Below are 24,455 nucleotides of genomic sequence, written 5' to 3' on the forward strand. Positions count from 1 at the left end.
TATCGAGAGAAAAGAAATCCAGCATCTTAAACTTCTGTATCCTATGAAATTATCTTTCAAAAGTGAAGATGAAATAAACATTTTGTCAGACAAACAAGAACTGAGAACGTGTGTCACCAGAAGAATGGTCTCATAAAGTTAAAAGAAGCTCCTCAGGAATAATGAAAGAAATATTTGTCAGAAACTTGGATGTATTTAAAGAAAGAAAGAATATTAGAAAAAGAATAAGTGAAAGTAAAATAAAAAATTTATATTTTTATCTTAATTGATCTAACAGAAAACACTTTGTCCAAAATAGAAATAGCAACCCTGTGTGTGTGTGTGTGTGTGCTTATATATAAGAGAAGTGAATTACAGCTATAATAGAAATTTCAGAAAGAAAGAATAGAAAATATTTTGTTATTATAATGTACCTGTACCAGCTGTGAAGCAGTATAATATTATTTAAAAATGAACTTGGATTAGTTGTAAATTTATATTGCAAACTAAAGAGACACCTAAATAAAGTAGAAAAAAATACATAATTGATGTTTTAGTCTGTTCTCGTGCTGCTAGTAAAGACACACCCAAGACTGGGTAATTTATAAAGAAAAGAGGTTTAATTGACTCACAGTTCCACATGGCTGGGGAGACCTCACAATCATGGTGGAATGCAAAAACAAAGCATGAGATGTCTTATGTGGCAGCAGGCAAGAGAGAGTTTATGCAAGGGAACTCCCATTAATAAAACCATTAGATCTCATGAGACTTATTCACTACCATGAGAACAGTATGGACAAAATTGCCTCACATCATTCAATTATCACCACTTTGCCCCGCCCTTGACATATGGATACTATTACAATTCAAAATGAGATTTGAGTGGGGACACAGCCAAACTGTAGCATTCCACCCCATCCCCTCACAAATCTTACATCCTCACATTTCAAAACCAATCATGTCTTCCCAACAGTCCTCTAAAGTCTTAACTCATTTCAGCATAAATCAAAAGTCCACAGTCCAAAGTCTTATCTGAGACAAGGCAAGTCTCTTCTACCTATAAGCCTGTAAAATCAAAAGCAAGTTAGTTACTTCCTAGATACAATGGGGGTACAGGCATTGGGTAAATACACTTGTTCTAAATGAGAGAAATTGGCCAAAATGAAGGAGCCACAGGCCCTTCTGAAATCCAAAGGGCAGTCAAATCTTAAAGCTCCAGAATGATCTCCTTTGACTCCATGTCTCACATGCAGGTCATGCTGATGCAAGAGGTGGGTTCCCATGGTCTTGGGCAGCTCCATCCTGTGGCTTTGCAGGATACAGCTCCCCTCCTGGCTGCTTTCATGGGCTGACATTGAGTCTGTGGCTTTTCCAGGTGCACAGTGCAAGCTGTTGGTGGATCTACCATTCTGGAGTCTGAAGGATAGTGGCCCTCTTCTCACAGCTCCACTAGGCAGTGCCTCAGTGGGGACTCTGTGTGGGGGCTTCAAGCCCACATATGCCTTCTGCACTGCCTTAGCAGAGGTAATCCATGAGGGCTCCACCCCTGCAGCAAACTTCTGTCAGGAAATCCAGGTATTTCCACACATCATCTGAAATATAAGCAGAGGTTCTTGAACCTCAGTTCTTGACTTCTGTTCATGCATAGGCTCAACACCACATGGAAGCTGCCAAGGCTCAAGGCTTGCACCCTCTGAATCCACAGCCTGAGCCATACCTTGTCCCCTTTAAGCCAAGGCTGGAGCAGCTGGGATGCAGGGCACCAATCTCAAGGCTGCACACAGCACTGGGGCCCTGTACCCACCCCAGGAAACCATTTTTCCCTCCTAGGCCTCCAAGCTTATGATGGGAGGGGCTGATACAAAGGTCTCTGACATGCCCTGGAGACATTTTCCCCATTGTCTTGGCAATTAGCATTTTGCTCCTCGTTACTTATGCAAATTTCTGCTGATGGCTTGAATTTCTCCCCAGAAAATGGATTTTTCTTTTCTACTGCATCATTAGGTCTGCAAATGTTTCAAACTTTTATGCTCTCCTTCCTCTTGAGCACTTTCCTGCTTAGAAATTTTTTCTTCCAGATACTCTATATCATCTCTCTCAAGTTCAAAGTTTCACAAATCTCTAGAGCAAGGACAAAATACCACCAGTCTCTTTGCTAAAACATAGCAAGAGTCACCTTTGCTCCAGTTCCTGGCAAGTTCCTCATCTCCATCTGAGACCACCTCAGCCTGGACTTTATTGTCCATATCACTATCCAAATTGGTCAAAACCAACAAAAAAGTCTCTAGGAAATTCCAAACTTTCCCACATTTTTCTGGCTTCTTCTGAGGCTCCAAACTGGCCCAACGCCTGCCTGTTACCCAGTTCCAAAGTTGCTTCCACATTTTTAGGTGTCTTTACAGCAGTGCCCCACTCCCAATACCAATTTACTGTATTAGCCTGTTCTCACATGGTTAATAAACACATACCCAAGACTGGGTAACTTATAAAGGAAAGAGGTTTAAATGATTCACAGTTGCACATGGTTGGGGAGGCCTCACAAACATAGTGGAAGATGAAGGGGAAGCAAGACACATATTACATGGCATCAGGCAAGAGGGAGCTTGTGCAGGGGAGCTCCCATTTATAAAACTATCAGATCTCATGGGACTTATTCACTACCATGAGAAAAGTATGCAGAAACTTCCCATGATTTAATTATCTCCACCAGGCCCTGCCCTTGACAGGTGGGAATTATTACAATTCAAGCTGAGATTTGGGTGGGGACACAGGCAAACCATATCAATTGATGTGCTAAGAAATGAGATAAGTTGAAATTATATTAAAAGCCTAATTAAAACCACAAAAAGTCAGCAAAAGTATGTTTCTTCATTTTTTGAGGCCACTATAACAAAATACCTTAGACTGGGAAACTTATAAACAACACAAATTTATTGCTCAGTTTTGGAGGCTGCAAATCTAAGATCAAGGCCCCAGCAAATTTAGTGTCTGGTAAGGTCTATTTCCTCATAGATGACATTTTCTAGCTGTGTCCTCACATGGCAGAATGGGTGACCAAGCTCCTTCAGGCTTCTTTCATAAGGTCACTAATTCTGTACGTGAAAGTGGAGTCCTCATGACTTAATCACTTCCTAAAGGCTCCCCTTTGTCATACCATCACCTCAGGAGTTAAGACTTCTCCATATGAATTCTGGGGAAACACAGACCATAGCAGTGTGAAAGACAAAAATATGAAAAAACACAAAGGTAACATATAGAAAACATAACAAATATTGTATATATTAATCCAACTATATCAACAATCACTTTAAACTGCACCCATGGTCTAAATACACCAATTAAAAGACACATACAGTTAAAGTGGATCCAAAAATATCCAACTGTATGTTGTCTACAAGGAGCCCACTTTAAATATAAAGACATGTATAAACTTAAAGTAAATGGGTGGAGAAAGACATGGCATGCAAACACAACGAAAGTTGAAGTAGCTATATTAATTTCAGACACAGCCAACTTTAGAGAAAGGAAAGTTATCAGGAATAAGAGGGTTATTACATACTGATAAAGAAGTCAGTGCTCCAACAAGAAATAACATTTCGTTTGTGTTTTTTTTTTTGGATCTGCATGTGTTTATTGAACTCTAGTAAAGCAGCATGAGAGTGCAGGCTCATAAATTACATTATTTATTTGCTAGCGTTGCATGCTAGATTCTAAAATTAAGAGATTGCTTAGCAATTAATAATACATTCAGCATCCCTTGTCTCATTGGGTGAGATTTATATCCTTGGGACTTGCTCTTCTAGTTATAAACATGAGTGATTTAAGGTTCATACTTAATTCCTATTTCAAATTCTTAAGCTAGAAAGATACTTGCAAGACTATATTTAAAAGACTTATTTTGAAAAATGTGTACGTATATTTCTAACTGACAGTGAGCTAATTATGACTACAATGTGCTATATGCTTAAAAATACCTGATCTTGAGTATTGCTTACTTTTGTAATATAAACTTGTTTTCTTGTCTTCAGATTATAATAATTCTTTCACTTTGCATTATGCTCTTTTTGAGATCAATATTAACTAATTGTTGTAAAGATGAGATAATGAGGTAGCAAGTCAAATAGCATTCACAAAGTAGGTTTTCTTTGAACTAGTAGTTTTCTAAGAAATTAAATAAAACAGATTTTCACAAGTAGGTTTTCTAAATGTACAGTGGGTAGTGATACTTGAAAATGGAAGCATCTTAAATATCAACTTGTTAAGTGGAGCAGATTAGGATAGTATTAATGCCATCTTGAAGTTTCTTAATATATTTAAGATGAGGTAGTAAATAGGTTAATTATTTTATATTGGCTATTATTTTTGCTTCATGATAATGATTATAAAGCAACAATTGCTTTTTTTTATTATACTTTAAGTTTTAGGGTACATGTGCACCACGTGCAGGTTTGTTACATATGTATACATGTGCCATGTTGGTGTGCTGCACCCATTAACTCGTCATTTAACATTAGGTATATCTCCTAATGCTATCTCTCCCCGACCCCACCCCACAACAGGCCCCAGTGTGTGATGTTCCCCTTCCTGTGTCCATGTGTTCTCATTGTTCAATTCCCACCTATGAGTGAGAACATGCAGTGTTTGTTTTTTTGTCGTTGTGATAGTTTGCTGAGAATGATGGTTTCCGGCTTCATCCATGTCCCTACAAAGGACATGAACTCATCCTTTTGTATGGCTGCATGGTATTCCATGGTGTATATGTGCCACATTTTCTTAATCCAGTCTATCATTGTTGGACATTTGGCTTGGTTCCAAGTCTTTGCTATTGTGAATAGTGCTGCAATAACCATACGTGTGCATGTGTCTTTAGAGCAGCATGACTTATAATCCTTTGGGTATATACCCAGTAATGGGATGGCTGGGTCAAATGGTATTTCTAGTTCTAGATCCCTGAGGAATCGCCACACTGACTTCCACAATGGTTGAACTAGTTTACAGTCTCACCAACAGTGTAAAAGTGTTCCTATTTCTCCACATCCTCTCCAGCACATTGTTTCCTGACTTTTTAATGATCGCCATTCTAACTGGTGTGAGATGGTATCTCATTGTGGTTTTGATTTGCATTTCTCTCATGGCCAGTGATGATGAGCATTTTAAGCTGAAACTGGATCCCTTCCTTACATCTTATACAAAAATTAATTCAAGATGGATTAAAGACTTAAATGTTAGACCTAAAACCATAAAAACCCTAGAAGAAAACCTAGGCATTACCATTCAGGACATAGGCATGGGCAAGGACTTCATGTCTAAAACACCAAAAGCAATGGCAACAGAAGCAAAAATTGACAAATGGGATCTAATTAAACTAAAGAGCTTCTGCACAGCAAAAGAAACTACCATCAGAGTGAACAGGCAACCTACAGAATGGGAGAAAATTTTTGCAATCTACTCATCTGACAAAGGGCTAATATCCAGAATCTACAATTAACTCAAACAAATTTACAAGAAAAAAACAAACAACCCCATCAAAAAGTGGGTGAAGGATATGAACAGACACTTCTCAAAGGAAGACATTTATGCAGCCAAAAGACACATGAAGAAATAACATTTCATAATGTGTACACACTGAAAAAGAGAACATCAAAATGCATGAGGTAAAAACTTACAGAACATCAAAGAGAAATGGAAGAATCCACTGTTATATTTTTTGAAGACATTAATACCCCTCTGTCAGAAATGGACAGATCTACCATGCAGAAAGTTATTAAGGACACAGTTGAACTCAATATCACAAGCAACTAAATATAATTGACACTGTAGACCACTGCATCCAACAACAGAAGAATACACATTCTTCTTAAGTTCACGTGAAACATTAATCAACATAGATGACATTCTAACCTATAACACACAACTTAAAAAATTTAAAAGAATAGAAATCATACAACATCTGCTTTCACCACAATGGAATTAAACTAGAAATCAATAAAAGAAAGTTATGTAGAAAGCCCCAAAATACTTGGAGATTAACCAATACACTTTAAAACAACACATAAGACAAAGAAGAAATCTCAAGAAAAAAATTTAAATATTTTAACAAAGAAAACAGGGAGATCAAAGTAAGACAATAAGAAATGACAAAAATGACATTACAACTGATCCCATTACTGGGTTTAGTTCTGTATTCTTCACCTCTGTAAAATAAGGCTGATCCTATCTACTCCCTTTGATTATAGTTAGCCTGATGGGAGTTTGCACAAGCAAGGACCCAGCACAGGCTCTAGCCTAAAGTGCCTGCTCTGTGAACTAGACTTCTGGTTTTCTTTCTCCAAGCAGACAGCCAGGACTTGTACTTATCTTTTTATTTTAGAGAGAGAATTGGCCTCCTTCATCCTCTCAGACTGTTAGTTTGAGACTCTCCTACCATGGCTAGAGTGTTGAGTTTGCACGGTTCCCCCATTCTTCATTGGCCTATCTTTCTTTTCTCTCTCTCTTCTGCAAAATCCCTCCCCTACACATCCCTTTCAAGTCTGGGTTCTCGGCATTAGTCATTGAGCCCTACCTGCCTCCTCATATACACCTCTTTCCCAGAGTTGAGCCATCCTTGGATGCCAAAGAAGCCTGTTTCTTCACGGCTTTGTCCTTTGGTCTTCATCTCAGAGCCCTGGGCCTTTCTCATTCTTTTTACCCTAATCCAGAACCAGGCAGCTAGATCCGATGACAGGGTGGGTATAGAGCCCCGGTCCTCCACCACTCCAGTTGGTACTTGCCCTTACTACTCATGTTCCCACAAAAGAATCTTAATTTTTCTCCAAAACATACCTAGGTCCTGCCTCAACGGTGACACTTTAGGGCAGGCCCAGAGCCTAGTGTTGCTCATTTTCCAGAGTATCTAGTCCTGGAAGTGCAAAAGCCCATCACAGTGATCAAGAAGGTGGACGGAAAGGGCTTGAGTCTTCCCTCCTTCCAGAAACCCAAGCACTGATGTTGCTAAAGTTCCAAAGGGATTGAGGAGGGAGATAGGAGTGAGTGAGTGAATGGGGGCTATGTTCAGAGCCCAGAGTGTAAAGCTTGAATGGAGAGGCAACAAGCAGCATGTTAAATTTCTCTGGGCCTTCATTCCAATTGCTAAGCATTTTCCATGCATGGATGTGAACCAGAAGAGGCACAGTAGGCCCACACGCTGTGAAGTCCCAGCCACTCTCCAGATGACAATAATAATGGCTATTTACTGAGCACACTACTAGTGCACTTAATTCTCCCAACGTCCCTATAGAATGGTCTCTATTGTCTGCCCCATTTGTTGTGTGTTGGAAACTGAGGCTGAGAGAGGTGGAGTGCCTTGCAGAGGTCTACAGTCAGCCACGCTTGGGTTTAGGTCACAGTTCCACAGATCACCTAATAGTGTCTGCCTTGGGTAAGACCCTGCCCTACTCTCAGCTTCAGTTACCATATAAACAAAAAAGAACTTAAACTCTGCATTCCTCATCTCCCTCCCAGTAGTAGGAGGGCCCAATGATTGATGACTGGAGCCAAGTTCCATAGCACAGAGACCCAGATCAGGCCTGAATCTGAGCCAGGGTAGTGGAAAAGGGTTAGGGAGGGGTGTAGTAGGGTGGAGAGTAGCCTTTGGCTACTATCACAGAACTGAGAGGCCATACCAGGCTTAGAGAATATTTACCAGGCACTTGGATTCTCCCAAAGCATTAAGGCTGCTAAAGAAAAGGTTTATCCAGAGCTCCATAGTTCATCACAGGCGGACCTCATTCTTTACAAAGCAATTTCACATTCGTTATCTCCCTGAAGCCTTAAAACAAATCTGATCAGTAGGAGTCAGCGCAGAGTCCAACAGATGCCCTATTTGATACCTGCCTCTCTAAGTCTCAGAAAAGCTAAGAGACTACTCCCTAGTGGCAGTAAGATCGCTGCAGAGAAGCCACCTCTCTGGTTAATCTTCAGGTTAAGAAATAAATCAAAAGTTCCATTAAATAAACTAGACTAAACCTCCCTGTCTGTTCCTCCCCATCACCACACAAACAAAAACCACTGGGCAATGTTCTTACTCACTTCTCTTCCAGACATCCCTGGAGCTGGATCAAATAGTGATTTCCAATCTACAATTCCAAGGTCATTTACTGATTCATTACACAAATATTTCCCAAGACCCTACCATGTACAAGGGAGCTTTATTCCAATGGGTTCAAAAATACTTCCCCATACCCCTTCAAGGTGCTCAAATTTCAGAAGATTCAGATAAGATCTCAAATAACTCTAAGGTAGACAAAATAGTCTCCATCAGTCCATTGGGAAGGGGAATTGATAATGAGATTCACAGAAGAGGAAGAGTGTTTTCTGAGAGGAGCATCACTACATAGGGCTTTAGCGAGAAGGGCACATTTCAACTGAACCTTGAAGAATAGAGACAGCTGGGTAAGTTGGTAACGTGCCTGTAGTCCCAGCTACTCAGAAGGCTGAGGTGGAAGGATTGCTTCATCCCAGGAGTTCGAGGCTGTAGTGAGCTATGATAGTGCCACTGTACTCCAGCCTGGGTGACAAGTGAGACTACATCTCTTAAAGAAAAATTTGGAGATTTTGAACACTTCTTTTTCTTTCCACAATTAGAAGATTGTAGAAAGAAACAGACTAGTCGAAGGAATTGCATATGCAAAGATACTTTTATTTTAGTGGAAAGAGTGCTGACCTGGTAGTCAATGGACCTGGGTTTACTTCCTTAAAGATTACCTTCCTCTCTTAAGCCATCAGTTTCCTAATCTGTTAAATAATAAGATTGGGTTTGTTAACTTCTAAAGATCCTCCATGTGCTTCCACTCTGACATATTTTTTCAAATATCAGATAGTATACTTTGCTTCAGAATTGAATAGGTGAAAGAATAATGCGAGGTAATTGGATCTATACTGTGAAGACTTGAATGCCAGGCCTGAAAGCTTGAGCAAAGAAAGAAAATAGAAGCTAAGCCCCAGTTCTAAACGCTGATGTTGTGTATTTGGGCCTGGTACCAATTGAAGAACACATGCCTTGCAGTCAGGGTGGCCCAGAATTTGAACCTAGCTTTACCACACACCAGCCATGTGCATTTAAATAGTCATGCCACCTCTCTGAGCCTCAGTTTCTACATCTCTAAAATGGGAATGACAATAACTCATGGGGCTGTTGTGAAGATAAAATAATGTGCAAAAAGTGTAAAAAGTGCCAATAGGTATGTTACTTTCCTGCCTCTTAGTCCCTTCTCCCCAGCACCAGACTTTAATTGGTCTTTTCTGATCAATTACTCATTTTCCTTCTTCTCTGAAACAAGTTTCAAAATATATACCGAATCCAACCACTTATCTCCACCCACACTGCCATTCACCTGTATTATTGCAATAGTCTTTTTTTTAAATCTGCCTGATTCTGTCTACTTACAGTCTATTTTTGATCCAATGGCCAGAGAGAGCCACTCAAAATTTAACTCAAATCATGTCACTCCTCTGCTCTAAACCCTACAATGTCTCCCTATCTCAAAGCAAAAACTAGAATTTTTGCAATGGCCTATTTCCCTTCAGCTTTTAGACCTCATCTAGTCTTTAGCTACACTGTCTTCCTTGCACTTTCTCCAACAGAAAATGAACATTCTGTTTTCACTTGTTTCTTTCTTCTGAATCCTCTGTCCTCTTACCTCACTCCATTAACTCTTTCATATTTTAGTTAAATGTCAATTATCTGTGAAGTCATCCTAGACTATCACATTTAAAATTGTGACGTCCACCTCCCAGCATTCCGTATATTCCTTCCCTGCTTTTTTTTTTCTCCATAGAGTTGATTACTGTCTGATATACCATAAAATTTAATTACTTATCAGTGTTTCTCCCCACTATGATATATGCTTAATAAAGCCGGAGGCTTTATCTGCTCACCACTGATGTCTCCATACATAGAACAGCACTAAGTACTCAATAAATATTTGCTGAGTGAATACAGTGGTCCCATACTGTGTGCCAAGCACTAAGTTAAGCAGTTTGCTTGCATTATCTGAGGAAATCCTGCTTGTAAGGTAGATACCATTAGGTTCTCTATTTTTAAAAGGGAAAACCCGTGAAACTCAGAGAGGTTAAGTGACTTTCCCAAAGCCATAGATGGATTAGCTAAAAGGGGGTGGGGGTGCCAGGTTATGTTGGATTTTGTGTAGGAGCACATTTCCTGAGTAGGAAGCAGCCTGGAGTAAAGGCTGTGGTAGGTCTTGGGGGTGCTGGGTGGAGAGGAGGAACACAAGAGGAGACCTGGTTTCTTGAGGCAAGATACTGATTTCATTGGCATCTACTAGCAAGTCTATGTCTTTTTCAACAATTGGAGTTTTACAAAGAAAACTTTTTTAGTTTGCTGCAGCTGCCATGGATTTGAGACTGCAAGAGTTCTGGCCCCTTGAGGCACTGGATTTCAGACAGAAGCCATACCTGGCAGAAGGAGACACCTGAGAGTAGTGGATTGACATGAAAATAGGAAAGTTTATTATCCACATGGTTCTCTCTCTCTCCTACCATTTTGCATAACCTACGTTACTCATCTTTCTTTAATTTGTGCATATTTGTAAACAACGTTCTATTAATTCAGCCTGCCATCCACTACAGTGTAATCTTAGGAAGGCAGAGCAAGAATTTTTGTCTTTTATTCACTGCTGTATCCCCATGCCTACACAGTACCTGGCACACAGTAGACGCTCAACAGAGAGTTGTGAAATGAATCTTTGCCCTTGGAAACAAAGGCGTCCTCTTGATGGAGGGAGTAAGGAGAGTAAGGGAAAGCTCTTTTCATTGGCATCCTGGGCCAGTGCCATGCAGTAAACCCCTGCGAGGGAATTGGGCAGAAGGAGACTGCAGATGCAGGTTGGACGCGGGAAGATCGGTGAAAGGGAGGAGGCCGCGGTGTAAGGACTGAATCCTAGAGAGCGGAACTTTGCCCGGTTTCTGCAGGTCTCTATCTGACTTTGAGGGGAGCTGGTCAGAAATCCCTGGAGGAGTTCCTGTCCCCAAAAGCACAATACTGACGCTATGGGGACCAGATGGACAGAATCAAGAAAGATGAGACAGAAAGGCCTGGGAGCTTGGGGAGTGGGTGAACAAGTTCCTGTGAAAGTGAAATGGCCCTTCATTTGAATGCAAATGCTATGTAAAAGCCTGAAGCCCCTTGACGTCAGCCCAGCCATTGGTGGCCTATCTATACAGGGCTGCTAGTCACCTGGATACCCTCGTAAGAAACGTGGGATGGAGTAGCCTGAGGGGTGCAAAAGAGCTTGCGGCACAACTACGTACTGATAAGTTTATTCTCTGCTGCTTCTCAAAGTCGAGTTGGGGCCTTACAGGGACTTCAGGATGGCTTAGGGAGCGCCTTCTACCCAAGACACGATGTACGGAAGCTGTCTTTTGGAGAAAGAAGCAGGCATGTACCCGGGCACTCTCATGAGCCCTGGGGGCGACGGCACAGCTGGGACAGGCGGCACAGGGGGCGGTGGGAGTCCGATGCCAGCCTCCAATTTCGCTGCGGCACCGGCTTTCTCGCACTATATGGGGTATCCTCATATGCCCAGCATGGATCCTCACTGGCCGTCTCTGGGAGTCTGGGGCTCACCCTACAGTCCCCCGCGAGAAGACTGGAGCGTGTATCCTGGGCCGTCTAGTACAATGGGCACAGTGCCGGTGAACGACGTGACCTCTAGCCCCGCCGCTTTCTGCTCGACCGACTACAGCAACTTGGGCCCTGTGGGCGGTGGAACTAGCGGCAGCAGCCTACCAGGCCAGGCTGGCGGGTCGCTTGTCCCGACGGACGCAGGCGCCGCCAAGGCCAGTTCCCCCAGCAGGAGCCGCCACAGCCCCTATGCATGGATGCGCAAGACGGTGCAGGTGACGGGTGAGTAATCAATTCCAATGCCCACACACTTTTCCTTCCTTCCCTTCTCCGCTACTTCTCTTGGTCGGCCTGCCCTCGTACTTCTCAGGCCTCTCCCAAGAGGGCTTAGCTGAGGCGACCCCTATATGGCTGGCTGGCCTATTAGGCATCTCCCTCGCATTCGCCTGGGCTCAAAACTCACTCACTGAGTGCAGCGATTGGGACTAAACCTACCCTAGAGGTGATTTTCGCCTTTCGCTGCTCCATGAAGAAAGCGAGTGAGTGGACAATGGGTATGTTAAGCCACAAGGATCAGGATGCAACCCTGTAGTTGCCCACATGGGAAAAGAGATGCATGAGAAAGCTCAACGGGTGAATGAAGCGAGAGGGCAGCTGTAGTGTCCCGTTGTTCAGGCACTGCTGCTTGACTGTTCCATTTCCAAACCCTTACCCATCTGAGCGGGCTGTCTCCCCCCTCCCCGCCCCCAAAGCTGGTGATGCTCAATTTAGGTTCACAGTGCTTGGCTGGCAACGGACCCTCCAGTTTAGCCACTAAGTCCCCGACGGCAAAGCAACCTCTTCACCCTGGCCTCTCAGGGAAGCTCCAGCTTCCTTCCTACAAGTTGGCAGAGGCAAATTGGCCTAAAATCCATTGCCATCTTACAACGTCCTTTCTTCTAACCCAAGTGTTGAGGCAGGCGAGAAGGCTACAGCACTGACCTGGTACATAATACGGTACCTAACCCTCACACCCGCCCGACACGCAAACGAATCAGCTCCAGCACTAATAAATGGCTAAAGCCCTCATAACTATCAAAGCAGGCGTCTCTCAGGCGTGGGGGCTGAATGCAGGTCTGCGGCAGCGCGAGAGAAGTCAAAGCGATCGCGATCACAGCCTAACCAGCAAGCCAGTGGGCGACTGCTGGGAGCCAGGGCGAGGGAAGTGGCCGTTCCACTTTAATCTTAACCGGGGCTGGGGGAGGAATGTTTGTTTTCAACTGTTGTTCTTTTATTACATTCTTATTATTCCAACCCTCGCTCCCTGTCATTAGAGAAAATTAGTAAAAATCGACTCTGAGTATTTTCATCCCTCTGGGGAGGAAATGGCATTTCAATAGCATTTGTCCGCAATGATTATGCTCCTGTTCTCAGTTCTGCACTTTGTCTTTCCTCCAAAAAGCAAAGACAGGAGGGTGGGAAGTGACCCATTTTTACCATTAGGAGAACTTTTAGCCAGGAAGAGGAAGTTCTGTGTATTAGAACCTCACTAGAGTAGCGATCCCAAGGTAAAAGTAGAGTTGAAATACTTGGCTTTAAAGCGTTTGCAAGTAAATCTGCATTTTAAAAAAATATGAGTGAGTCTGTCGACTAAGTAGAATAGAAAAAGAGGTTAGGGTGGGGCACTCCCAGAGTTTTTATTACATCTAATCTCGGGGTTGTAATTAACATCCACTCACTAAACCCTAACAATCAGCAAAAGACACAAAAGCTAGAAAAGTAGTTGCTCGCAGTCTAGGATTATGTTTTGAAACACATTAAGAGGAAAGTCACTGGCGTGCTGTTTGCAATAGAGAACAAGAGAGGAAATGGATGAGATAAAAGAAATTATCTCCAGCCTTGAATTTTCTATTTATGAGGAAAAATATGACAGTTTTATCTGCTTAAAGGTCTTCCGTTTACATTTGCTTTTATTAGCCTGAGTCTCTCTCTTGGGCAATTCTAATGCCAGGAAAGGTTTCGAAACGGGCTCCTTAGTCTCTTGCATCTTTGAGCTAAACCCTCAAACCTGACTTTACAATGGCACCGTCACAAGATTTTCTATCCAATTTCTATGAGAAGTTTAAAATGGAATGATATTGGAACCATTTCGATTTTTGGCAGCCTATTCTATAGATGAGGCTTCATTAAATTAAAACTTCGTTTCATTTTAATGTCTTATAAATGAAAATAACCCTTTTGCTGTATTCTTATAGTCTAAGGTGCATATTTAGCAGCAATTTAAGAATATGATGAAAAACTTTGGTTATCTCCCTAGAAAAAATGCACAAAGGCACAGCAGCACACACACAAACACAAGTAATTTGTTACATAATTTTAGGAGATTCATGGATCCATTGAAGCCCTTTCAAGGGACATCAGGTTATAAACCCCACGAAAAAAATTAAGCTGATCACCTCACTAGGCCACCCACTCAGGACCAAAATGCACCCATTTATATGCTTAGTACATAGTGGGTCTTAAATATTTGTTTAATGAATGAATGAGTCAGATCCTCCTAAATTTTCCACTTCACTCTGTAGTACTGTGGGATAACATATGGTTTATGACTGAGAGGAAAAGATGAACTTCAATATGGAAGTAACCCTTGATTAAGGTAGTCAGATGAAAGTTCTTTCCATTACTGAAAAATGTCTTAAATAAATGTAAAAAAGGAAAAAATGCATGTATTAGTGGACAATCAGAAAACATTTCATAGCGACCATTATAGCATGTTATTTTCTAATGAGAGCAAGGAGGCTGACAGATAGAGTAAATGACTGTTCCCTAAGTGACCTGATTTAAAAAGAAGGCATGTTTATTTCCACTTAGTTCTCTAAGTGGTCTATTTCTATACATATCTAACTTTAAATATTATGCAAAAAGGAATATGACAGAAAAGTTTCTATGGAAAATTTAATATTTTCATGCACTTTCACATTTTAAACATTGGCAAGGTGATAACCTAAGCAGGCTGGAGAGAGGCTTTTCTGTTAGAAGTGGAAAAGAGGGGGAGAGCAGGAAGTAATTGTGATTGATTCTGATTCTGATTGATTGTTTTAAGCCACTGGACAACATGAAGGAATTTATGCTTGAAAGGCATTATTCAATAAGGACACTTCATAAAATTAGTTGCTTAATAATTCTTGAGAGTTATCATTGTCCCTTGGTTTTGCTCATTTCATGGGACAACTTTTTAAAAATGAATTTGGATGCAATTTTTAGCTAAAAACAGTGAAATATTACCATAAGATGAAAAGTCCTCACAGTGGAGTCCATTAGACAGTACTCCCTACATAAGAATATTCATTTTCATAATCTTTACATTCACTCCCATCATCATCACCTCTATGTTTGGAGAGTGACTTTCTGCCTAGCAGCACTTTTGCAGCCAGTCTTTCAAATGAACACCATTTTAATTTTATTTAGGGTGATAAGTTATCATATATTATGACATTTGCTTGTGAATTCTGGGGAGATAATGTGGTTGGGAGGATGGGAAGGACTCCATCCATCTTTAACTACAGAAGTTTTTCTGACTCTTTGAGGAGAAGGCAAATACATCATAGATAGTATTAATTTCCTAAATAAACTCAATAATGGCTGAAAATGGAGCCCATCACCCTCAGAAATGTCATAGTCTCTGGAAGAAGAGAACAGCTTGAACAATAAAAGTTAGTTCTGTTAGTGCTATTTTTTTGGTGCTTGGGTATGGGAATATGGACATTATGCTTTACCAGAAAATGTCCAAATCCCCTTCATCATCTGTTCTGGTTTCATCATTTTATCTGGTTTCATCATTTAAGAAGAAGGGGCAATGGGATTGAGAGAGACAATTTGAGGAGCGGGACACAAAAGGAGCACCAGGAAATTCAAATTTATTTCTCTTTGTAAACTGTGCAGTCAGTTTTTTCCCCTGAGCTACATCTTCTTGGAGTTTTAGGTCTTATCTGTCAGATTTTGGCAACAGACTCTTTTTAACACTTCACATGGCTTTGATATGCAGCCAGGATCTTCCTTATCCCTCCTTTCTTCAGGGGTTATATTGCCGGAAAGGGTAGGATTTTTATGGCAAATAAAGGGGCCTGGTCTTGACTTTATTGTCCTCAGAAGAAACTGCAAGAGGGGAATTTATGACCAATGGGGGTGGGGAAGGACTACAACATTTCCAGAGTTATTGATGTCTGATTATGTTTATTGATTATCAAAGAGCATAAAACATGGATAAAGACAAGTTGAATTTTTAACCAGTCTGCCTCAAGTTATAATTTAAACACTCAGCAACTTTAAGATTAAGAAGGGTTTTAGAAAACATGATTTCAAAGATACATTTCGATCTCAAGATTTGATGTTCTAGAAATAAATTAAATCTCCAAGTTTTCATTTTTTTCTCTAAATATGCATTCTGTCTTTGCAACATGCCAAAAGGCAGACTTACGGTTTCCAGGTTTTTGCTTAGACTCAGAAAACCAGCTCAAAATTTAGGATTTTAAGGTAGGTTAACTGACTGGACCGCATAGTTTTCCTTTTCTAAGAGCGGGAAAAGGAGATTTTGTTCAGTTCATTATTTAGCCATTTAGATTAATCTTAAAATATATCACTTATCTAAAATTTATTTCTTCACTGGTGTCCTTTTTTTTTTTTTTTTTTTTTCCTTTTCTGGAGATGAAAGGGTGTCTGACATTTGTTTAGGGCTTGTAAATTCTGAACCAATTGGCTGGTGTTCCTGAATGTAAAGAGGGTTCAGAATGGGATCTGATGCTATGTAACTCTTTTGTTAGGCCTGTGCTGTATCTTAACACCTCAGTGGAGTTTAGGGAACCACTTTAAAGACGTCTTTGTCCTACAGATCGCCCCCAAAAAATCACATAAAAAACAACCAGGGAAGATCAGAAGGAGTATTTAAAAGCCATAGAGAAAAGGAGGAAGATCCTGGAGGAGGGTAGAGAAATTAAAAAGAAAAGAGAACTTCCTAAGTATCTTTGGAAAATTTGAAAGGAGGAATAAAGCTCTATTCGAAGGAGGGCATGAGGAATTAGTTAAATGTTGTAACACAAAGCAAATGTTTGTATATCCTTTCAAAGGGCATGGAATACTCACTTTATTCTGCTTAAGTCAACACCTCCTCCTTCCCCCATTCACTACCTACTTGGTAATAAAAATTAAGACTCCCACATAAAAACTATTTTTTTTTCTAATAGGTAATGGGGTTTTCTGAAACAGAATCTGCTAAATGACAATTAATGTTTTCTTTTTAAATTACTATTCAAACCAAACTCTAGGAAATTATGTAACTATAATGTTAGGATCCCACAAGTGTTTTCCACTCTTGGGCCATTATTATGCGTCCCAGCATATTTGAACTTGGAATAACATTTAGTTAGCATACTTAAATAGGAGTCAAAGATATGTGTTTGGGTCCCCACTCCTCAATTCTCTAACACAAAGTCATTTACCTTAACTGAGCTTCATGTTTCTTATCTGTAAAATGGAGATAAGACATGTTCTGCATAATTCAAGAAGGTAGGTAAGAGGTTTAATAGGAACAGTATGAAAAGACTGCATAAAATGTAGTGGGAAGTGCCTGTATAATGGACAGCTGCTATTACTGCCAATGCTAATCACATATGTAAGTGGGAAGGTAATAAACACCATGGGTTAAAGTGTTTAAGCATTTTCAATGCTCTGCTGTGAAAATAGGTCAAGATGGGATGATTGTGATTTGACCAATCATTTTAGGAGAAACATTAATTAAAGAGATGTTGGTTTTATATATAAGGAGAGATATAGATATAGAGATATATGTCTATGTCTATAGATGGTAGACAGAGATATTGCTATCATAGCCACAGATGAGAATGTATTTAATGGAGAAATTGACTTTTATGAATATTTGATTCAAAAATATACTTATTTTATATTTTAAAGCAAAGATGAGGGTGGGAAGAGTGTCTATGATTTCTTTAACTAAAACAATCTCCAAGAAGCAGAAAAAGATTAAATGCAATGCTTTCTCTCCTAACAGGGAAAACCAGGACAAAAGAAAAGTATCGTGTAGTTTACACTGATCATCAAAGATTGGAGCTGGAAAAGGAATTCCATTGCAATAGATATATCACCATCCAGAGAAAATCAGAGCTGGCAGTTAACCTGGGCCTTTCCGAGAGACAGGTACACCAGAAGTATATCCAACATGTCCCGTATAGTCCATTTCAATAGAATCAGAATTCTAGAATTGTAAAGTCCCTTAATGCATTGCCTTATCCCAAGTAGCTTGCATTTCAACCACGTGTGAAGGCACATTGATATCGCTCTCTTCTATCTCCAGCAAGAGATATAAAATATTTCATCACCCTTGTTCTCTCATTTATGTGTTTCATTAATATTTTACTAATAGGAAGACAAACTTCTTATTAGTAATAGTATACTAATAGGAAGATAAATTTTCTATTTTATTTTATTAATATTATACTAATAGGACGTTTCTCTTTAGTGAAATATTAATAAAACATAGAAATGGTTGATTATAATTACCTTTGCTATTTAAATCTCTCTCTCTTATCAGCACACCTCAGCTTCTGTCATTCCAGCATTATTTATTTCTACCTGTGCAACAGAGGAGGTGGGTAAGGTATAATATTAAGATTATTGCATTCAGAGTTAGTAGCCCTAGACTTGGATCTCAGTTTCATTTCATGCAAGGTACTTGCCCTCTCTAAGTCTCAAGCTTTTTTTCTAACCTGTTAAGTGGGCATACTTCACAAGGTCATTGTGAGGCTGAAATGAAGTGATGCATATGAAAGGGCTTTGTAAATGCTAAAGTCTCTGTACAATATCAGAAATCACTAAGTTAACTGCATTCAGTATGTTGCCCCATTGTGTTTCAGGTGAAAATCTGGTTTCAGAATCGCAGAGCCAAGGAGAGAAAGATGATCAAAAAGAAAATCTCCCAGTTTGAGAATAGTGGAGGCTCGGTGCAAAGTGACTCTGACTCCATCAGCCCTGGGGAACTACCTAACACTTTTTTCACCACACCATCTGCTGTTCGTGGATTTCAACCTATTGAGATACAGCAGGTTATAGTCTCCGAATGAAAGAAAGCAAAGAGAAATTTAAAGTGCCCTTTTTTTAGTGATGTCTTTTGGGTCTCTAAGCTATCTACAGGGGAGTTGGAGCAGGGTGTAATTCCCTGTAAGGCAGTATTTGGAACAGATGGATGCACAATGGGTTGAAGATAATTTAGGGGACTCTTACTTTTAGAAACTATCCCCAGAAAACTCCTGTCACGTGCTGTGCTATATGTCAGTCACTCAGGAATCTTAGTGGTAAGGTATATAATTAAAAGCTAGAATCACAGGCCCTTCCAACTCTGTTCACAATTTCAGAAACTTGCTTATGAATAGACTGTAAAATACAATTTTGCCAGAAAGCACATTTGTGTATGTGTACTTCTGTTTGTTATTTGATGCTAGGTGTTTTCTTTTATGCTATCTTTAAGGAGTGAGAAGAAGGTAAACCGAAGTTTATCTATCTTTAGCTACCTTTCCAAGTGTTTAATTCAAAAGCTAACAGAATTTTTATAATAAGATAAATGTTTTAAAAATCATCAGAAGGTGATTCTGATTCCATTGTCACTGCTTAACAAGAATAACCAATAAAAAAGACAATTTTGGCCCTCAATCATACTTGTCTGGCATCAATTATCTCAGAACTTTCAACTTGCAGTGTCATTTTAAAATCTTGTCAAAACAATGAAATCAGACTAAAACAAAATAGGCCAGCTTGGTTGAGTAAGGCACATCTCCAACTCATAGAGTAAACTCTACCCCCTCTTCTGTCTCTCCATTCCCATTCCAGTCAGACTTGCGTAAGCACAAGACAGTGAACTGTTATGTAACCTGTACCTGCCATCACCTTTCAACCTGTTCAATTTTACCCACATTATGTCATGTCAATGCAGTTTACTGGTTTATAATCCAAGGAGCTGCAGTTTACAGGTTAAAAACACACAGCTTGACTAAGAAAAGGGGTTGTAGTGATGCAGGTTGCCTAGAGCTTTTAGTGTGGGTCCAGCATACTGTTTGCATATTGTAGTGGCCAAAGACTAGGCTGTGAGTCCTTTTGAATTGAGATGGTTTAAAGGAAAGCTTGATTAAAGCATAAAAGCCACCAGGGTTCAACTTTTCTTTTCAAGATGCACTTTCACTGTTCTTAAGAAAATTAGAATTTTGAGCACAACTATCTGTCTTTGAGTTGGGAGTAAGAAATGTATCCTCCCTTTTCTTATGAAAATCTCAGAAAGAGGTTTCATTTCCCCTGGCTGCTCCTGAAGGCACGTCATTAGTTCTGAAAAGATTTAAGGGAAAAAAAACCTTTCCATTTTTGATCCAACCTCTTGGAATTATATTCTTCAAAACACATTTATAAGGAGGGTATCAATTGCCCTATTTTACTGATAGGGAAACTGAGATGTGTGCAATCAACTCACTTTCCAAAGATACATAGCAAGGATATTGTGGATGCTGATGTGAACCCCTAGCTACTTAGGATGATCTTCCTTGGTCTCTAGTGATAGGTCTAAACTCAAAGCATCCCTTTCTTTGCATTTTGTATCTGATTATGCTACTGCAGGTGCATACAGCTCCCTAAACACCAGTCAGTGGGTAATGACCACCTAGGAATGCAGCCTAATTTTTCTTGTTTTCCAGCTCCCTTACCCTTCTGATTAGTGAGTTTGAAGCTTCTACTAATAATCTTAATAATGCCCTATATATGTGTAATATTTTTATATATTTCAATGCAATTTTACACCTGTTATTTTATTAGATCCAATATCCTCACAAGATATGAAAGAATTGCTACCCCTATTTTGTAGTTTGAGAAGCTAGAGACCAGAAACGCTTATGAATCTTTGATAAACTAATTTACTTCTCTTAGCCCACATCTACATATTGGTGGATGGTGATAAGGATAGATCAATTTAAATTCTTTCCTCTTCAAAAAGTTACTGACTTTTTTCGGTAAGTTGTTGGCAAAATCTAAAACTAGATCTCAGGTCTGCTGATTCAGTGAATATTTATTGAGTGCCTACTCTACCAGGCACTATGCTAGGGTTTCTTGACTCCCAGAAAAACACATATTCTACTCCACTCACCGCCTCCAGTAAATTTGAGGTGAACTACACAGCATGCTAATTGATTGGCAGGCCATCTGTAGTGCAGAACATAGAAAATCAGCATTGAAATGGGTCCTTCCAATCTAGTGGAGAGATGAGAAGTGTTACTTGTCTATGTACACTCAGAACTTAATTTTGTCATCCTAGTGCCCACTCCACAAAAGGTATAACTTTGGCTATATCAGTTGGATTTTCTCAGGAGTTTCTCTTTCCTGCTGCAAACAATTTTTCTCCCAAAGAAAAAAACATTTTCCTATTTGTATAGATTCTGATTCTCTAGAATCTGCAAATAGAACCAAAATGGAGCTTTTGTTTTGACTAGCATATTGCGGCCACTCCCTCTAAGAATACATGTTAATTCATTCTCTGAGACCTAAGAAAAGTATACGACCACAAGCTTTTATTTCTAGCTTATGGTGGTTTATGCTGGAGGTATGTAGAGAAAAGAAATATAAACACTGAAGCTCAAAAGTTGCATTCAAAGTATTTAATAAAGGCTTTTTTCTTTTTTACGGGGAAAGCGGCAAGAATGAAAACATACCAAATGACTGACAGTGTTCACTTAGGGTAGTGGGATTATGAGGGATTTTCTTCTTTTATTATCACTAAAATTTATTCTGTTTTATAATAGGGAAACAATGTTTCCTTCCCAAATATTTCTTCAGTTCATCCTCAAGTAATTTGCAGACTTTAGAATCCTCTTTGCAACTTATTCAAGTATTCCAATTTCCCAGTAACTTTCTTAAGGCCCTTGGAGTTGTTTGTGTGGAGTTGCAAAGAAAGGTCTTTGGGAGGATCTGGCTTCTTTTCAAAGAAGGAAGGAAGCAAGGCCCAAGGAAAGTTTTCCACTCTTGGCTCAGATCCAGAGAATCTGGCTGCTTTTCTGAGTTGGAACATTTTAATACTACTGTATTACATCAAGAAGAGAATGAGGGGCCAGCAAGGGAGGAGGGTGGTAGAAGGGAGAGATGTATTTATAACAGGGAACAAGGAACATTTTGGGGGTGATGGATTTATTATCAATTCTGCTGACAGTTTTATGAGTGTATACATATGTCAAAACTCATCAACTTTTATACTTGTAGTTTCTTGTATGTCAATTATGTCTAAGAAAGCTGCAAAAAACAACAGAGTTGTTGCAACCCTGGTGACAAAAAAGAAGGGAGGGAATCGCTAGACTGTTTAGTCTATAGTCACTTTATATAACTTAGGTTCAGCCCCACCTTCCCAGGTAGAGATCACTTGCTTGTATGTTCATGTCTAAATGTGCTACTGAGGAAGGACACCAACAATTGATAATCACTGGGTCTCTCATATCATGGGAATGAGTTTGGAAGACAGAGGGAGACCAGGTTATGTAAGGATTGAATTTTCAAAGTGAAAAAATGCAAAGCAAAGAAGTCCCTTACTGCAGTGCCTTCAGGAACAATATTATGAGTTGTTAGTAAAAGCAGATGTTCAGCCAGGCGTGGTGGTTCACACCTGTAATCCCAGCACTTTGGGAAGCCGAGGTGGGCAGATCACGAGGTCAGGAGATCAAGACCATCCTGGCTAACACGGTGAAACCCCGTCTCTACTAAAAATACCAAAAAAAAAAAAAATAGCCAGGTGTGGTGGCAGGCGCCTGTAGTCCCTGCTACTCGGGAGGCTGAGGCAGAATGGCGTGAACCCGGGAGGCAGAGCTTGCAGTGAGCCGAAATTGTGCCACTGCACTCCAGCCTGGGTGACAGAGCAAGACTCTGTCTCAAAAAAAAAAAAAAAGCAGATATTCATGTGGTATGGTGTAAGAAGTACTGAGTTGGGAAGTGAGACCTGAAGCTCTAGTTTTACCCAATTCTGTAACTAAACAGCTGTGTAATTTTTTGTTAAGTCAAAAAAGTATTCCACCAATACGGGCCACTGTAATTTCATTTGTAAAATCTGAAGATTTGACTTGGCTTTAAGGGTTTATTCTAGCTCTAATTTCTACATGACATTTTGAGAAGACTCTATGCTTTCCCACTTCCCCACCACTCATACAAAGTAAAACTCACACATATACACACACACATACACCTTCCTTCTTGGCTTCCCAGGGCTTAAAGTATCACTGTTGGGAGAGTCAGCCCTTTGGTCTCAAAGACTTTTTCTGTCTTCTAGAGTTTACTATGAGGGCCTACTCTGATTTCAGAGTCCCCATGTCTCCACCTATAAAATGTGAACCTTGAGCTTAATCTCACCAACGTCCAAAATTCTAGGTTTGTGGATCTTTAATTAAAATACAAATATCACTGAAAAAGAAATGCACTTAAGCTGCCATAAGTTATTTCTCTAATCCCTTTAAAACCAGAAAAGCCTTAGAAAGGCCTGCTCTAAATGGATCACATGAAAATGTCCCCCCAAATAGGAATAAACCCCCAAGACAGGAGAAGTATATCATAAATCAATAAATTCAAATTACTTGGACTTTAGAAGTTTGCCTTTAGTTGTACTTAAGCACACATATTTTATTCTTCCCTATAGATAAGGGAAGAAGGAATTCAAACCCCTTTTAGGAAAAAGGGGGAAATTATCCCTTTTCTTTTTCCATCACAGTCTCTGCTTGCCTGACAAAAGAAAAGTGGATGTAAAATGGAGCCTGTAATGAGCCAAATGGTGGTTTCCCGAAAGGCATGTCCATATCTTAATCTACATAACTTCTGAATACGACAAAAGAGTACATATTATCTCTTGTGATAAAATATATGATTAGGTTAAGGAACTTGAGAGGGGAATCTTATCCTGGATTGCCTGGGTTGACCCTAAATACAATCACGTATACTTATAAGATAGCGGCAGAAGGATATTTAAAACAGAAGAGGAAAAGGAAGCAATGTAAACTTGAAGGCAGATATTGGAGTGATGTGATCAAAAGCCAAGTAATGCCTGGAGCCAAGAGAAGCTGGAAGAGGCCAGGAACAAATTTTCCCCGAGAGCATCTATAAGGAGTAGTTTTACTAACACCTTGATTTTGTACTTCTGACTTCCAGAACTATGAGAATATAAATTTATGTTTTGTTAAGCCACCAAGTTTATGGTAATTTGTCATGGCAGCTACAGAAAATGAATACAGAGCCTTTACAAGGGCCCTTCCAACCAAGTCTAAACTGATCACCACTTTTTATCAGTTCCATAAAATGTTTAGTGAAAAAGAAATCACTCTTAGAGCAGTGTCAGCAAAATGGCAAAGTAGGCAGCTTCAAGCGCCCTTCCCTTCACAAAAACATCAAAAAATCAATCAGAACCTGTTAGAATCAACTTGGTCAGAGCTCTGGAAAACAGTCAAAGGTTTTCAGCAACCAAGTAAATGCTGAATCAAGAAAAGTGCAACTTAAAGGCAATAGGAAAGCTTTGTGACATTTTTACTTGTCTTTTGCCTCACCCCCCTGCCAGTTCAGTGACAATCTTAAAAATGGAAGCTCATGTTACCAGTGTGGAACTTTGGTGCCTTGTTCTGGAGGGAGCATAAACAATCTTATTTGCAAAGAACTTTGTTTGTTCTAACCTATTTGGAGGATACCTGAAGGACTGATGCAAGGTACTTGTCTATATTTTGCTTAATTCAGAACTTACTCAGATCTGAAAAGTGATGGGTAGTCCTCAAACCATTGTAACATTAACAAATAACTGAAGCTGCCTGGAGCA

General features: G+C 39.9%; 1 protein-coding gene across 1 annotated transcript, besides 3 other annotated features; it reads left to right on the forward strand.

Annotated features, from left to right (window-relative positions):
* Positions 10,873–11,538: an enhancer, noted in NCBI's record as "NANOG-H3K4me1 hESC enhancer chrX:72666583-72667248 (GRCh37/hg19 assembly coordinates)". NCBI's record gives its function as "activates a minimal SCP1, AML or CMV promoter by ChIP-STARR-seq in primed H9 embryonic stem cells {active_cell/tissue: H9 hESC(primed)}" and the evidence as "EXISTENCE:reporter gene assay evidence [ECO:0000049][PMID:30033119]".
* Positions 11,179–19,297, forward strand: CDX4 (caudal type homeobox 4). The gene is made up of 3 exons (NM_005193.2): positions 11,179–11,881; positions 17,643–17,788; positions 18,505–19,297. The coding sequence occupies exons 1-3, from the start codon at positions 11,380–11,382 to the stop codon at positions 18,709–18,711; spliced, it is 855 nt and encodes a 284-aa protein (NP_005184.1). The 5' UTR covers positions 11,179–11,379; the 3' UTR covers positions 18,712–19,297.
* Positions 11,539–12,203: an enhancer, noted in NCBI's record as "H3K4me1 hESC enhancer chrX:72667249-72667913 (GRCh37/hg19 assembly coordinates)". NCBI's record gives its function as "activates a minimal SCP1, AML or CMV promoter by ChIP-STARR-seq in primed H9 embryonic stem cells {active_cell/tissue: H9 hESC(primed)}" and the evidence as "EXISTENCE:reporter gene assay evidence [ECO:0000049][PMID:30033119]".
* Positions 18,117–18,721: an enhancer, noted in NCBI's record as "NANOG hESC enhancer chrX:72673827-72674431 (GRCh37/hg19 assembly coordinates)". NCBI's record gives its function as "activates a minimal SCP1, AML or CMV promoter by ChIP-STARR-seq in primed H9 embryonic stem cells {active_cell/tissue: H9 hESC(primed)}" and the evidence as "EXISTENCE:reporter gene assay evidence [ECO:0000049][PMID:30033119]".
* Positions 19,298–24,455: the final 5,158 nt, after the last annotated feature.

This window comes from Homo sapiens, chromosome X (assembly GCF_000001405.40).
Source record: "Homo sapiens chromosome X, GRCh38.p14 Primary Assembly".
NCBI classification, from domain to species: Eukaryota; Metazoa; Chordata; class Mammalia; order Primates; family Hominidae; genus Homo; species Homo sapiens.